General features: G+C 35.8%; 1 protein-coding gene across 8 annotated transcripts in view; it reads left to right on the plus strand.

The window, feature by feature from the left end:
* Nucleotides 1-14427, plus strand: part of NIPBL (NIPBL cohesin loading factor) — a 189645-nt gene that overhangs the window by 155624 nt on the left and 19594 nt on the right. For all 8 annotated transcript variants that reach the window (NM_001438586.1, NM_133433.4, XM_017009329.2 and 5 more), the window contains 6 exons: nucleotides 3987-4095; nucleotides 6210-6346; nucleotides 11955-12095; nucleotides 12244-12337; nucleotides 13051-13205; nucleotides 13717-13807. In NM_001438586.1, coding sequence (NP_001425515.1) covers nucleotides 3987-4095; nucleotides 6210-6346; nucleotides 11955-12095; nucleotides 12244-12337; nucleotides 13051-13205; nucleotides 13717-13807 — 727 coding nt within the window. The remainder of the gene's footprint in view (nucleotides 1-3986; nucleotides 4096-6209; nucleotides 6347-11954; nucleotides 12096-12243; nucleotides 12338-13050; nucleotides 13206-13716; nucleotides 13808-14427) is intronic.

The raw sequence follows: 14427 nt of genomic DNA on the forward strand, positions 1-14427 counted from the left end.
GTGTGTGTGTGTGTGTGTGTGTGTGTGTGTGTGTGTGTGTGTGTGTAGTGTGTGTGTTCATCCCAGCAGAAAAAATCTTAAAGGTAGGATCCAGGAGCCAGGCTCAGTAGCTTGCACCCAGAATCCCAGCCTCTTAGAAGGTTGAGGCAGGAGGATCATTTGAAGCCTGGAGTTTTAGACCAACCTGGACAATGTACTGAGACCCCATCTCTGAAAAACATAAATAAATAAAATTAACTGGGCATTGTGGCCTGTGCCTGTAAATTCAGCTACGTGGGAGGCAGAGGCAGGAGGATCACTTGAGCCCAGGAGTTTTAGGCTGCAGTGAACTATGATTGTGCCACTGCCCTTTCTTCTGGGGAACAGAGTGAGACTCTATCTCACTCACCAAAAATGTTTTTAATGGTAGAATCTAGATGATGGTCGTTAGAGAGTGTTCATGATAAAACTTTTTTCAACTCTTTTGTTTGGCTGAAATTTTTCGTAATATTAAGATGGTGTAAAAAATATACCTGTATCACTGAGAATGTTGGTACCTTTAAAAGATATTTTTTAAGTGAGCAAGCTAAATTATACTTTAAAAAAATTTTATGCACCTTGATTACTTCTTATTTATATTATAAGTGCATGGCTAATATATGTGTGTAGGTTAACATTAAAGTAGAAGAAATCATTTCAGAGTGGGCAAGAAAAACTTTTGATAAAATTCAATATCCTTGAATGATTACTTATAATAAACAAGGATACAATGTAAATTCCTTAATCTGACAGATAAAACTACAAAACCTAAAATGAAAATAATGCAAAATGGGAAACTGTGAGCTTTCTTCAAATCATGAATAAAAAAATTTAAATATATCAAAGTGATTGTAAAATGTATATGGAAAAGCAGAGAAAAGGTAAAAATAACTAATTTCTGAAAAAAGCTGAAGCACTGACTTGCCTTACAAAATATTGGGACTTATTTTCAAAGATACATTACATAATTAAGAGCAGTAATAAGTAGATTAGTACGAAATAGAACAATGGAACAGGATAGAGATCCCAGAAAACAGGCTTACACATATAGAATATGCTTGCTATAAAACAGAAGTGGCACTGCAGATGATGGAGAAAAGATAGACTGTTTAGTAAATGGGGTTGGGATATTTGACTGTCCATAAGAATTAAAAAAAAAAGATTCCTACTTCAGCTCAAAAATCAACTCCATATAGATTAAAGGAGAACTTTAAAACTTTTAGAAAATATAGGAGAAAAAAATTTTTAATTACATATGTGTGTGTATATGTACATACACACACACACACACACACATATATATATATATATATATATATATTTTTTTTTTTTTTTTTTTTAATGGCTTGGTCTTGCTGTGTTGCCCAGGCTGGACTCAAACTCCTAGGCTCAAGTGATCCTCCTACCTCAGCCTCTTGAGTAGCTGGGACTACAAGCATGCACCACCATGCCCAGCCTGAATATATTTTTGATCTCTGAGTAGGAAAGGATGCCTTAAACAAGTCACAAAAACCATTAACCTTAAAAGATTGAAGAAAGTGAAAATACAAGTCACAAAATGGGAAAAGATATTTGGCACATATATAACCAACAATTAATACCGAGAATAAATACATAAGAACTTCTCTCCTACAAAACCAGTGTAAGTCAAGAGTCCCAGTAGAAAAATAGGTAAAGTTAATTAATAGGCATTTCATGGAGAAAATAGCATATAGGACCTATACTGTGTTCAACCCCATTAGTAAAGTAAGAAATACAAATCAAGACCACATTCTACACCATTTTATTGACAAAAATGGAGAAGTCAGACAATCACAAGTAATGGAAAAGAGGGATCAGGTAGTGTCTTTTAATACAGATAATAATTGAGAAAGTATTACAGCCACTTGAAAAATGATTTCATAAAATTATCTCATAAAAGCATTATCTTGTGAAGTTGAACAATGCATGTATCCAATGACCCAGCAATTCGACTTCAAATATATATACACACAAAAGAATCTTGCATATTTGCATCAGGAGGCATATACAAGAGTGCTTATTGTACTAAAATTGGGATTAACCTATCTACAAAAGAGTGGATAAATGAATTAAGGTATAGGCACACAGTGGGGTGTTGTACAGCAGAGAAAATCAGTAAAATACAGCTGTATGCAGTAACCTAGATCATAGTGGCATAATGATGAGTGAAAAAAGCAAATCTCAGAAGACTACATCAAGTATACTACCTTTTTAGAAAGTGGAAAATCAAAGAAAAATATAAATAGCATACAGCTTATACTTTTTTTAAAAACAAGGAGATGGTAAATTTCTGATAGTGGTTATCTCAAGTGTGAAACAGGAAAATGGGATAAGGGAAGGAGCACATTGGGAGCTACAAGATATTAAAATTATTCGTGTTCTTGATTTGGATTCAAAGTATGCCATTATTTATTAGTAAATTAGAAGGGCATATACGAGTGGCAACAGTGTGTCATGAGTCAAAATTTATGATTAATTCTTTTGTGTGTACCTGAAGCCTTGGAAATGAAAAAGGAAAAACCAAGGATGAGAGAGGATAGTTTTCTACTCCTGCCGTTAAATAAAAGACCAAGCTAGGCCGGGCATGGTAGCTCATGCCTATAATCCCAGCACTATGGGAGGCTAAGGCAGGCGGATCACTTGAGCCCAAGAGTTTGAGACCAGCTTGGGCAACATAGAGAACCCCATCTCTACAAACTGTACAAAAATAAGCTGGGCACGATGGCTCACGCCTGTGGTCCCAGCTGTGTGGGAGGCTGAGCCTGGGAGGGCAAGGCTGCAGTGAGCTTTGATTGTGCCACTGCACTCCAGCCTGAGTGACAATGAGACCCTGTCTCAGAAAAGACCAAACTAGAATGTGATATTAATAGCTGCTTTAAGGAAATTAGAGAATGGGGCAGGAAGAATTTGCGGTTCATAGTTGAAACCTAGTACATTGAAGCTGTCTGCTTTATTTATTTCTTCAAATTGGAGGAAAAGGGGCAGTGTGTGTGTTATGTTACTCTGGTTGCTGTCAGTTGTTTTAATCATTTATGCATCTTGTGGGGAAAGTTTAAGCTTGTGCTGCCCAAGCTTGTGCCCAACTGTAAGCCACATGCATTTTTTTAAATGTTAACTTAATTTCAATTTTTATTTTATTTAATTTTAATTTCTCAGTCACAGTAGGTACATTGCAAGTGCTTAATAACTGCATGTGACTCTTGGAAACCATATTGGACAGCAAAGATATAGAATATTTCCATTATTGCAGAGAAAGTTATATTTAACAGCAGTGGAACTCTTCACAGAAATCAAATACACATTTAGATTCCTTCAATATCCCCAGAATTAGATTAGCTAGCTTTTCTTAGGAAAACAGATATACCTTATGACTTTTCTGTTGACCTTTGATTATGAAAGATTAGATTGGTTTTACTTTTTAGCTATATTTAGAATGAGCTCTATCCTCATCTCATTATTCATAACACTTTTCTAGCATTGTTTGTGATTTTGCAAAGGATAATGCAGAAAAGAAATCTACCGTTATGTTTTATAATTGCCTTTTAAGGTGCAATTCAGATGCAGTTATTAATTATTTAAAATAATTCAACTAGTATTATGTGATACTGTGTTTTTGATTGGAATAGGGAGAAAGGGAAGGTCATCTTTTCTACATCTTTCACGTATTACCTTAGGTCTTACACAGCAATTTAAGTACTTTGTAGTAAAATTGTTTGAAAGTATTGGTAAATTACTGGTTTATAAGATATTTTTAAACATATATATTTTTGTTTTATTAATTTGCACTTTGAGTATTAAATTGTTAATGACAAATTGAAAAGTATGTTACTTATGGACACTTTTAATGTGTTTATATTATTATTGCCTAATGAATAATTATACCGGGATTTTTTTTTCTTTTTTGTATATATATATGTATATATATATATATATATATGTATATATAGTTGTTGAAGTCCGAAGAGGATTCCTCATATAAACCTGTGAAGAAAGCTTGTACTCAACTTGTTGATAACCTAGTTGAGCACATTCTTAAATATGAGGAATCTCTAGCTGGTAAGACATTTTATATATATATTGATCTTTAGTTGATTTTATAAGATATTTTTAAATATTTTGAGTAAATTTCTCATTTTTGCCTCTGGCTCTGCTTGTCTAATGATTACTTCACTTTTAAATGAAATACATTTTTGTTATATAGGTATCTGTTTGATGTTGCATCCTAGATTATATTAAGATTGACTAAGATTATCTAGAGCATTGTAATAAAAGCATGGGCCTCACCTCTTTCACATATCTTTTAATAGCATATTATAATTTTAGATGTCATATTGAATAGGAGTAAAAATCCAGGGGCTAATATGTATCTAGCTAATGATACTCATCACAAAACTGATATCTCCTAAGTCATATAAAATTATGTCTCAAAATGAAATTGTTTTAGCTATTATAAAAATGTTTTTTAAAGATTTATATTACATTCCTAATATTTATTATTTATAATTGTTACATAAAGTTTGCTTAATCTTGAGCTAGAAATTTATTAAAATGTTTAAAATCACAAATTATTTAAGTACTTAATATTTTATATTATCTCACATTATTTACCAATCACAAATCTGAAGTTTTTTAATCAATTATAAATAAATGATTACTTAAGAAATATAAAAATTGGGCCAGGCGTGGTGGCTCACACCTGTAATCCCAGCACTTTGGGAGGCCAAGGCGGGCAGATCATGAGGTCAGGAGATTGAGACCATCCTGGCTAACACAATGAAACCCCGTCTCTACTGAAAATACAAAAAAATTAACCAGGCATGGTTTTGGGCGCCTGTAGTCCCAGCTACTTGGGAGGCTGAGGCAGGAGAATGGCATGAGCCCGGGAGGCAGAGCTTGCAGTGAGCCAAGATCACGCCACTGCACTCCAGCCTGGGTGACAGAGGGAGACTCCGTCTCAAAAAATATATATATATATATGTATATATATATATATATGTATATATAGATACATAGATAGATATAGATACCCATTGCTTGAAGCGCACAAAGACTAGCATTACTTCCCATCTAATGCACATTAATGAGGAACAACGTCAGCCTCAGTTGTTCTCCAAAATTGGGAGCCAATAGCCTCTAACAGCCGTCCATTTATGGCACCTACGGAAGTTGTTGATATGCTTTATATTTTTTATGCAGTCTTTTTTTTTTTTTTCCATGTGTACCTCTTTTTTTTCTTTTTATCTCCTTGTTCCGTTTTTTTATTTTTCCCCATCCTGGAATTTAGGGGTGATACTGATGTCCCTTAATGTTAAAAAGTTGCTAATTTCCTCTAAAAATTTGTTTCCTAAGAACCAGTGTATTTCCTGATTAGCAACATTTTCTTCCCACCTGAACAGCATTTTGTTTAGAGCTGTCTTATAGCATTGTTCCAATTTCTGTTTGTTGCTCCCATTTTTTAACATTCTTCTACTGCAACAACATGTCTTTTTGTACCAGTACCCTTAAACACAGTTTCACCTCAGCTAAATTGCTTTTTTTCCCATATTCACTTCCTTTTTTTTTTTTTTTTTTTTTTAAAGACAGGGTCTCACTCTGTCACCCAGGCTGGGGTGTAGTGGCGCAATCATAGCTCAATGCAGCCTAGAACTCCTGGGCTGAAGCAATCCTCCCACCTCGGCCTCCCGAGTAACTGAGACTACAAGTGCACATCACCACACCGGGCTAATTTTTTATTTTTCTGTAGAGATGCAGTTTTTGCGTGTTGTCCAGGCTGATCTCAGATTCCTAGACTCAAACCTTCTTCCTGTGATGGCCTCCCAAAGTGCTGGGATTACAGGTGTGAGCCATCACACACAGCCCATTGATTTTAGATAAAACCAATACGACATTTATTCCCAAAAGCCCATTCCTAAGCTTCCCAATTTCCATTAGTATAAAACTTGCCTTCTATAGAGAGCATGGCCTCTTGTTCTTTATCTTGAGTATTATTTCTATATCAAAGAAAAAATGAGATGGAGAAAGTCTAGTATCATAAGAACTACTAATTCATTATATTGAGGCCTATACTGGACCTATTTAGGGGATAATATTAAGTAATTTAAATAATATTCTGTATAGTTTCCACTACCTTGTCATATTTTAGTGTCTTATTTCTCTGTTTGTTTTTCCAGACTCTGACAATAAAGGTGTGAATTCTGGAAGATTGGTAGCTTGCATAACCACTTTGTTCTTATTCAGCAAAATAAGACCCCAGCTCATGGTTAAACATGCAATGACTATGCAACCATACCTTACCACTAAATGTAGTGTAAGTATAGAGCTGTCTTATTCTTGTATCTTACATAAAACATTAAGTGCTTTAAATTTAGAGTTCACATGCGTCAACCACATTCTCACTGACAGATCAACTGTGTCATTTACTTAGATATATGTACTATTTGTAGCAAGTGATCTATAAACATCAAGTCTGACATAAATAAAGTTCAGGTTCCATTTTGCTGTAAACTCCTCAAGCCAAACCCTCAGTAGATGCTTACTAAATGTTATAGCTATTGTTAAGATCTCAAAATGAATGAAGCAGAGTTCCTCTCTTTGAGAAATTTACTATCTTTTGGGTCCTGAATTTACTTTTCATTTGTCTGTCATTTATAATATAATAAATATAAAAATTGATACCCATTGCTTGAAGCACACAAAGACTAGCATTACTTCCCATCTAATGCACATTAATAAGGAACAGTAGTCAACCTCGGTCATTCTCCAAAATTGAGAGCCAGTAGCCTCTAACAGAGGTCCATTTATGGCACCTAAGGAAATTGTTGATATGCTTTATATTTTTCATACAGTCTTTTTTAATTTTTTATATTTTATAAATATATTTTATTTTTATAATAGAACAATATATTAAATATGGAAAATCTATAATATCATACCAGAGATGTTAGGCTGTTAATATTAACATACACTATGTTTTTCTAAAATAAGGTGTGAGTAGTAAGACATTGCTTAAGTAAAATTATCCATCAAATAAAGATTTTAAAGTATATATGACAGCATAGTGAGTTACGTGGTTTACATGTATAATGTCATTTGCTTTATGAAGTAGGTACTATTATCTCTGTTTTACAGATAAGGAAACTGAAGCTTAAAGAGTATAAGTAACTGCTAAAAATTTGAAATTTTAAAATACTCTAAAAACTTAACAAATATAAAGGTTTCTCACATACTGTGTTCCTAATGTTCCTAAGGAGCTAATTTTAACTGTTTCTCTGCTGCATTTGTTTTGCTGCTGTGGTCAGTTTTTTTGATTATCCAAATTACAAGCTCTAGGTGAAAACCTCAGGACTTCCTGAGAAAACTTTAAGAACTGAGGAGAGTAGTAAAGGATAATAAATACCTAAAAACAACATGCATTTACTTCTGAGACACTAATTCTATCTTTAGGGTTCGTATTAGATCCAGAAATAAATTGTTTAATAATTGTGGCTAATAATAGCTAATAATTTTTTAGCACAGTACCAAGCACTGTGAAAATTTTACATGTATTATCTCATTAACTTTGTGAAGTAAGTACTATTATGATCTCAGTTTTACAGATAAGGAAATGAAAGCTTAAAGAATATAAATAACTGGCCCAATGTCACAGAGCTAAGCAGTCCCAAAGTTAGAATTCAGCCCCATGTCTGCCAGTAGAGTCTGGACTATAATGAAACCTGTTATATATTATTTATATCATAAATAGTCCTTGCATGATTTTGAACCAGTGATTTTTTTAAAACAAAATCACTTTTAAAATGTCTTGTGCATTTTTTATGTATGTATGTACACAAATATAAAGTTGTATATAAATAAGAGTATCTCATACATGGTAAACTTTTTCTTAATGTTTTGTGGTTTTGATTTTTGTTTTTATATCCTATCTCCATCTTTATTCATCTTCCCTTCAGAATAAACATCTTAGAGTATCCTTAACATACTTTTATAGTTGTGGACACAGAGGTATATATAAATGGTTGACCGGGTTTTGTAAAAATTGAATCATATTATATAGATATTTGTTAGGCATATTTGGTAATCTCACATTACCTGGTATATATCTAATTCCTTGTTTTAGATGGCTATATATTATCCATTTTATGGATGTCCTATGATTTATTTAATCATTTCCCTATTTGGCAGGTGTTTACATATTTCCTTTGGATCACCACTACAAACAATTTTTAAATAAACATTCCAATTTAAATACCTAAGTACTGGTGACTTTATTTTGTTGGAACAGTTTCTGAGAAGTGGACTTGCTAGGTTGAAACAATGGTTATTTTGGTGTTCATTTTTAATTGATCTTGCCATTTTGCAGTGGATGTGTTTTATACAACCTTTTGGAAAGCTGTATGTGACAATCATTGTCATTATTTAGTATTCTTTGCCAGTCTAACAGGTGGTAAGGAATAATTCATTATTGCTTCAGTTTCCTTCCCTGACTGCAAAGAAGGTTGAGCATCTTTTCTTGGTACTGACCAGTGGGGCTTGCTTTTCTGTTAATTCACTATTTATATCATTTTCATATCATTCGTTCATTTTACCTTTGAATAATAGGCTTTTTTTTTTAGGAGAGCTCTTTATTTTAGATATTAAACCATCTTATAGTATATTCATTACAAATATTTTTTCCTATTCTGTTCTGTTGCTCTTTTACTTAATGGTTTCCATCTTTCTTTAAATTTTTCTTCTAGAATTTAAGATATTTCTTTTACTTGATTTTCCAGGCCAGGATGTTAAGGGAAGGTTCAGAAAATGCTACTTTTTTGTTGTTATGTGGTGGTTTTTTTTTTTTTTTTTTTTTTTTTTTTTGAGACTGAGGCTCACACTGTCACCCAGGCTGGAGTGCAATGGTGCAATCTTGGCTCACTGCAACCTCTGCCTCCTGGCTTCAAGCGATTCTCCTTCCTCAGCCTCCCAAGTAGCTGAGATTACAGGTGCACACCACCACACCTGGCTAATTTTTTGTATTTTTAGTAGAGACGGGGTTTCACTATGTTGGCCAGACTGGTCTTGAACTCCAGACCTTATTGATCTGCCCCGCCTTGGCCTCCCAAAGTACTGGGATTACAGGCATGAGCCACTGTGCCCGGCCTATTTCTTTTTTTTTTAAGACACAGTCTTGCTCTGTTGCCCAGGCTGGAGTACAGTCCTGCACTTCTGGCTGACTGCAACCTTCGCCTCCCAGGTTCAAGCGATTCTCATGCCTTAGCCACCCAAGTAGCTGGGATTTTACAGGTGTGCACCACCACACCCGGCTAATTTTTGTATTTTTAGTAGAGACAGGGAATTGCCATGTTGGCCAGGCTGGTCTTGAACTCCGGGCCTCAAGTGATCTGCCTACTGTGGCCTCCCAAAGAGCCGGGATTATAGGCGTGAGCCACTGTGCCCAGCCACTACATTTTTTTTTTTTTTAAGTAAAATGCTAGCACTGGTTCTCAAATGAATATCTTACCCAACAAAAATTCTTCTATCCCTAGACCCACTTTAACTCATTATGGGAAACAACAGGATTTCTATGCTACTTAAAAAGAATTTATCTTTTCTTTTTAATCCTGTGGGGATCCTAAAAGGAAGGATGAATATGATGTGGGAATTTCTTTTTTTTGTAATTAATACTCCTACAAGCCAAGTGGTGGGAATGTTTTTAACTAGTGTGTTAATGCACTCAAAAAGTCCAAAATGGGCTGGGCACGGTGGCTCACGCCTGTAATCCCAGCACTTTGGGAGGCCGAGGCAGGCGGATCACGAGGTCAGGAGTTCAAGACCAGCCTGGCCAGCATGGTGAAACCCTGTCTCTACTAAAAATACAAAAATTAGCCAAGCATGGTGGTGCGCACCTATAGTCCCAGCTCCTCGACAGGCTAAAGCAGGAGAATCGCTTGAACCTTGGAGGCGGAGGTTGCAGTGAGCCGAGACTGTGCTACTGCACTTCCGCCTGGGTGACAGAACGAGGCTCTGTGTCAAAAAAAAAAGTCCAAAATCTATGCCGGTAATCCATTACTAACAATGAGGATTAGTAGCTTAAAAACTAGATTAAGGCTGGACATGATGGCTCACACCTGTAATCCCAGCACTTTGGGAGGCCGAGGCAGGCAGATCACAAAGTGTGGAGTTTAAGACCAGCCTGGCCAATATGGTGAAACCCCATCTCTACTAAAAATACAAAAATTAGCCAGGCGTGGTGGCAGGCTAGTTGTCGATCCATATTCCCGACATGCTGGTGCTTCTCCTTCCATGCCTCCAGCTACTCTGGAGGCTGAGGAGAATCACTTGAACTCAGGAGGCGGAGGTTGCAGTGAGCCAAGATCGCGCCACTGCATTCCAGCCTGGATGACAGAGCGAGACTCCGTCTCAAAAAAAAAAAAGAAAGGAAAAAAAAAAACTAGATTAAAAACATGCATTGAAAGCCTTACTACACACACGCGCGCACACACACACACACACACACACATATAACTTTGATTGCCTTTGGGGAAATGAACTGGGTGGCTGGAGGATAGATAGAAACAAGACTTTTTATTGTAAATCCTTTTCTACCTTTTGGTTTTTTTTAAAAAGTCTCTACCTGTTTTTTTAAACATGCTTATTAGTTTTTCTAATCAAAGAAATAACACATTTAAATTTAAAATAAAGAAGTCCTAGGCTGAGCATGGTGGCCCACACCTGTAATCCCAGTACTTTGGGTGGCCAAGGCAGGAGGATCACTTGAGGCCAGGAATTCAAAACCAGCCTGCGCAACATAGTGAGACCCTGTCTCTACAAAAATGAAAATTAAGGCCGGACGCAGTTTCTCACACCTGTAATCCCAGCACTTTGGGAGGCCGAGGCAGGTGGATCACGAGGTCGTGAGTCCTAGACCAGCCTGGCCAAGATGGTGAAACCCCGTCTCTACTAAAAATACAAAAATTAGCCAGGCATGGTGGTGGGCGCCTGTAATCCCAGCTACTCGGGTGGCTGAGTCAGGGGGTTGCTTGAACCCGGGAGGCAGAGGTTGCAGTGAGCCAAGATCATGCCACTGCACTCCAGCCTGGGCAACAGAGCAAGACTCTGTCTCAAAAAAAAAAAAAGACAATTAAAAAATTAACCGGGTGTGGTATTATGCGCCTGTAGTCCTAGCTACTCGAGAGACTGTCAGGAAAATCGCTCAAGCTCAGGAGCAGGATTGCATTGAGCTGTGATTGTGCCACTGCACTCCAACCTGGGCAATTGAGCAAGACTGTGTTTCTTAGAAGTAAAGAAGCCTTCTGCCTGGTTCTGGGATTCTACATGTTTATCTGTCATAGAAAATTTTAACACAGGGTTTCTCAACCTCAGCACTATTGACAGGACTAGATGATTCTTTGTTGTCAAGGATTGTTCTGTGCATTGCAGGTTGTTAAGCAGCATCCCTGGCCTCTATCCACTAGATGCCAGTAGTGGCTCCCATTGTGACAACCAAAAATGTCTCCAGATACTGCCAAATACTCCTGTGTCAGGATACGGGGGAAGAAGCTTATTCCTGATTGAGAACTACTGGGTTAACATACACAGTTTGGAAAATACTAATCGTAAAAACTGTACCAGTCTTTGTATAATGCTGTCAATATGTAAATACCTTTGTTTAGAATTGACTTGTGTTACATTTTAGGGAAAAAATATAACATTGTGATTAAGTGACCCCAAAGTCACATTTTGGTAAGTTAGTTGTCGGTACATATTCCTGACATGCTGGTGCTTCTCCTTCCATACCTTGAAAAAAAAACTCTAACAGACTTTTTTTTTTAACTGGACCTTTACGTGCAAAATGCCCTATTTCTGCCCCCAAATACGTAAAGCTGTATATAGTTTCTTTTCAGGTTTTGGATATTCATAAAGCATTAATTTTATTCTTATAGACGCAAAATGATTTCATGGTTATCTGCAATGTTGCAAAAATCCTAGAGCTAGTTGTACCACTGATGGAGCATCCAAGTGAAACTTTTCTTGCCACTATTGAGGAAGATCTAATGAAGCTCATCATCAAATATGGCATGACTGTAAGCACTCAGTTTACCATTTCTTTATTCATTAGTGTAAAGTTCTAATGTATTTTATTAAAATTTTTAAAGCAAATATTTGTAAAAAGCTAAGTTTTTAAAATAGTATATTTTTAACTTTTATCTAAACATTTTCTATATCTTTTAGGTAGTGCAACATTGTGTGAGCTGTCTTGGAGCTGTTGTAAATAAAGTGACACAAAATTTTAAATTTGTGTGGGCTTGTTTCAATAGATACTATGGTAAGTTCAATACCAGGGTTTTAAAATTATTCTGCTAGGTCCTGCAGGGGGTCAGCTCATTTTAAACACATTTGATAAAAGGCTAGACTCGAGGAAATTATGAGGTGTGATTATCCACCGTGGTCCTCTCAGAAACAATATTTTCTAGTGTCTTTTGTATTTCCTGAAGAACCCACTGTGATTACTTCAGAAATTTATCTCCTGATAAGTAAAGATTGGTAAATTTTTTGCGCACTGTGAAAAGTAAAATTTAAATTTTCTTACATTAGTTTAGACTCTGAAGAGCACTCTCATAATTCTAGACATATTTAATATTTAGAACCATTAGTAAAAATTAATTGGCTGGGGACAGTGGCTCATGCCTGTAATCCCAGCACTTTGGGAGGCCACGGCGGGTGGATTACCTGAGGTCGGGAGTTCGAGATCAGCCTGGCCAACATGGTGAAACCCCGTCTCTCTACTAAAAATACAAAAATTTGCCAGGCGTGGTGGCACACGACTGTAATCCCAGCTACTTGGGAAGCTGAGGCAGGAGAATCACTTGAACACGGGAGGCGGAGGTTGCAGTGAGCCAAGATCATGTCACTGCACTCCAGCCTGGGTGACAGTGAGACTCCATCTCAAAAAAAAAATTGTAATTCATTAGTAGTAATTACTTGAACTTAGTAATTCAAAGATAAATATTATAAGTAAATATTACTTATCTTTATTAGGTGCCATTTCAAAATTAAAAAGTCAACACCAAGAGGACCCAAATAACACTTCACTTCTAACAAACAAACCAGCACTTCTTAGATCCCTTTTCACCGTTGGAGCACTATGTCGGCATTTTGATTTTGATCTGGAAGATTTTAAAGGCAACAGCAAGGTAAAGGTAGTAATACTTAAAATGCTATAAAACATAGAGCTATATGGCACTGTGATCTGAGAATGACAGTAGTGACCCAGGATGAAGGCAACATTAGAGTAGTCTGGTTTAATGAAAATTCTGAAAACAGTGCTGCTCAAAACGTGGTCCTCAGACTGGCTGCTAATCCATCAACTTTTTGTTACTGGTGTGTAACCAGATAATGAAATTTCCCTGACAAGTTATATCAGTTTTGTAACAGTAGCACACTGTTGACATCAACAGCTGACTTTTTAAAAAAAATTTTTTTCAATGAAGGAAACAATGCACTGATTTACATTCCGAAACAAGCTTCTTTGTCACAGACTGATACTTTGAATGCCACTGTTCTAAAATAAATGGAATTGGTTACTTATTTTTTTAATAAAGTTCACACAAATTCTCATTGTTTTAAGGTATTTTTTTCCTTTATAGTTGAAAATTAATCTAAGTTACTGTTCATGAACACTTTAATGTGTTTTCCTCCCCTTAGGTTAACATAAAAGATAAAGTACTTGAACTATTGATGTATTTTACAAAACACTCAGATGAAGAAGTACAAACAAAAGCTATCATTGGTCTAGGTAAGTCTAAATTTCTTTATAATTTGTAGCTATTTGAGAGGGATAGAGCATATTTTTAAATATTGTGAATCTAAATTGTTGATTTACTTTAATATGTTTCTATTAGCAGTAGGATTTGGTGTATAGAATGTAGGTCTGAGGATTAAAACAACTGGGTTGCATTCTTGTCATGGCCATTGACTTCCTGGGTAACCTTGAGCAAGCCATTTGTCTGTTCATCAGTTTCTTCATTAGTAAAATAGAGATAACAATACTTTCTTCTACCCCTCCTCCATAGGGTATCTTAAGAACATTTATTAAAGCCCTTTGATAAAGAAAAATAATATAGAAGAATTCTGTGCTCTTTGCATTTTTTTAATTGTTCTTTTTCATTGCAAAGCTTTGTCACTACAGGAAGCTGCCACATCTGGTTAAAACAATGATCAGTCTACACTGACTTATTTATATAAAAGCAAATAGTAAGCAACCCAGAAGGAACAATTTGGATATATACCTGTTTTATAATGTTTTTCCAGGAAGGATTGATGTAATAAAAACATGTTTTGCAATTGTTAGGCAGGTCTATGTGGCTTATATCTAGGAAGGAATTAGAATATGAGGAAATAGGAGGTGAATGGCAT

The sequence above is a fragment of the Homo sapiens genome, chromosome 5 (genome assembly GCF_000001405.40).
Source record: "Homo sapiens chromosome 5, GRCh38.p14 Primary Assembly".
Lineage (NCBI taxonomy): Eukaryota > Metazoa > Chordata > Mammalia > Primates > Hominidae > Homo > Homo sapiens.